This window comes from Homo sapiens, chromosome 13, assembly GCF_000001405.40.
Source record: "Homo sapiens chromosome 13, GRCh38.p14 Primary Assembly".
Lineage (NCBI taxonomy): Eukaryota > Metazoa > Chordata > Mammalia > Primates > Hominidae > Homo > Homo sapiens.
The window spans coordinates 44273657-44274879 of NC_000013.11; the positions used below are offsets into that span (position 1 = coordinate 44273657).

General features: G+C 42.7%; 1 annotated feature.

Moving 5' to 3' along the window:
- Nucleotides 806-985: an enhancer, noted in NCBI's record as "active region_7672". NCBI's record gives its function as "activates an Ori minimal core promoter by ATAC-STARR-seq in GM12878 lymphoblastoid cells {active_cell/tissue: GM12878}" and the evidence as "EXISTENCE:reporter gene assay evidence [ECO:0000049][PMID:35858748]".

The following is a 1223-nucleotide window of genomic DNA, read 5'->3' on the forward strand; positions in this document are numbered from 1 at the left end:
TCAGCATCTCCCCCAGACTGGTAGGAGGAGGAGAGGGTCGGACTCTTCACAGCAGTATCCCCAACACCTGACTGGTGTCACATGCTTCGTGGCCAGCATTGAATGAATGAGCAAATGTATTAACAAAAAATTGAAGGAATGAAGAGATAAAGCAACTTTTTGCGCTAAATCACTGGTATTCTCAAATGGGTCACATGACACACTGTCCTCTCAAGGGACAGAGACAAAGCTTGCATCTGAAACTCCCCATACCTGCACATTCATTGCTCAGTTAACCTTCACAATAACCAACATGAGGTATTTCTTTTACAACAATAAAAAAGTAAATTGATGACTAGAGATATTGAATAAATTGCCCAGCACCATAAAGCTAGTAAATGGCTGAACCCTGAACTCCAACCCAGCTCCCCTGACTGCAAAACCTGTGCTTTCCCACCACACCGGGCTGGCCAGGGGTTAGGAGCTCACTGATGCCTGATGGCAAACATACTCCTGCTGTCGCTGCTGCTGCTCCCACTCCTGACTTCAGTATTCCAGGCTCACACAGCCAAATCAGCTCTCAGAAGAAGTCAACCCCAGAGTAGATTCTGGGTCACAGCTGTTACAATCAGGAAGTTGGTCTTTAACCCCAGGTAGAAGCTTCACTTCACTAGGGTGGGATCTTTGAACACAGAGCATCCCTTCCATCTGCTGTCCCACACCTGCCTCCCTATGCCTATTCTCATCAACACATATTTAAAACCTTTGAAGGACAACCTCAAGCCACATGCAAAAAACTTCCTAATTATTAGGGAGCGAATTTGCAATATTTTAGTATATATAAGTAAGAGTGAATGAAAGAGACATAGAGGCCGAGGGAGAGGCAGAGAGAGAGGGAAACAGAAAGTGAAAGCAGAGGCAGAGTTATGCATAACAGGTTCTAAAATACACTATTTGGTAGGGGTGTAATGATGACGCACATTGCTAGAGAAAAGAACAAAATGGAGGAAGCTCTCTGGCGTCTATGTGCCTTATAAAATTATTAATTTAACCAATCCCTAAAGTCATGAAGTATTAAGTGACAAGTTGTCTAGCTACAATAGTATGAGTCAACTACTGCATATTCCACTCTATTTTAACATTGAAGCCTAAGATGATTTAGGCTAACAAAGTCATTTTCCAAACAAATCTAAAAATCAAATCTTCATACAAGAAAAGAGGGAGAAGCACCAGACTTTAACCCC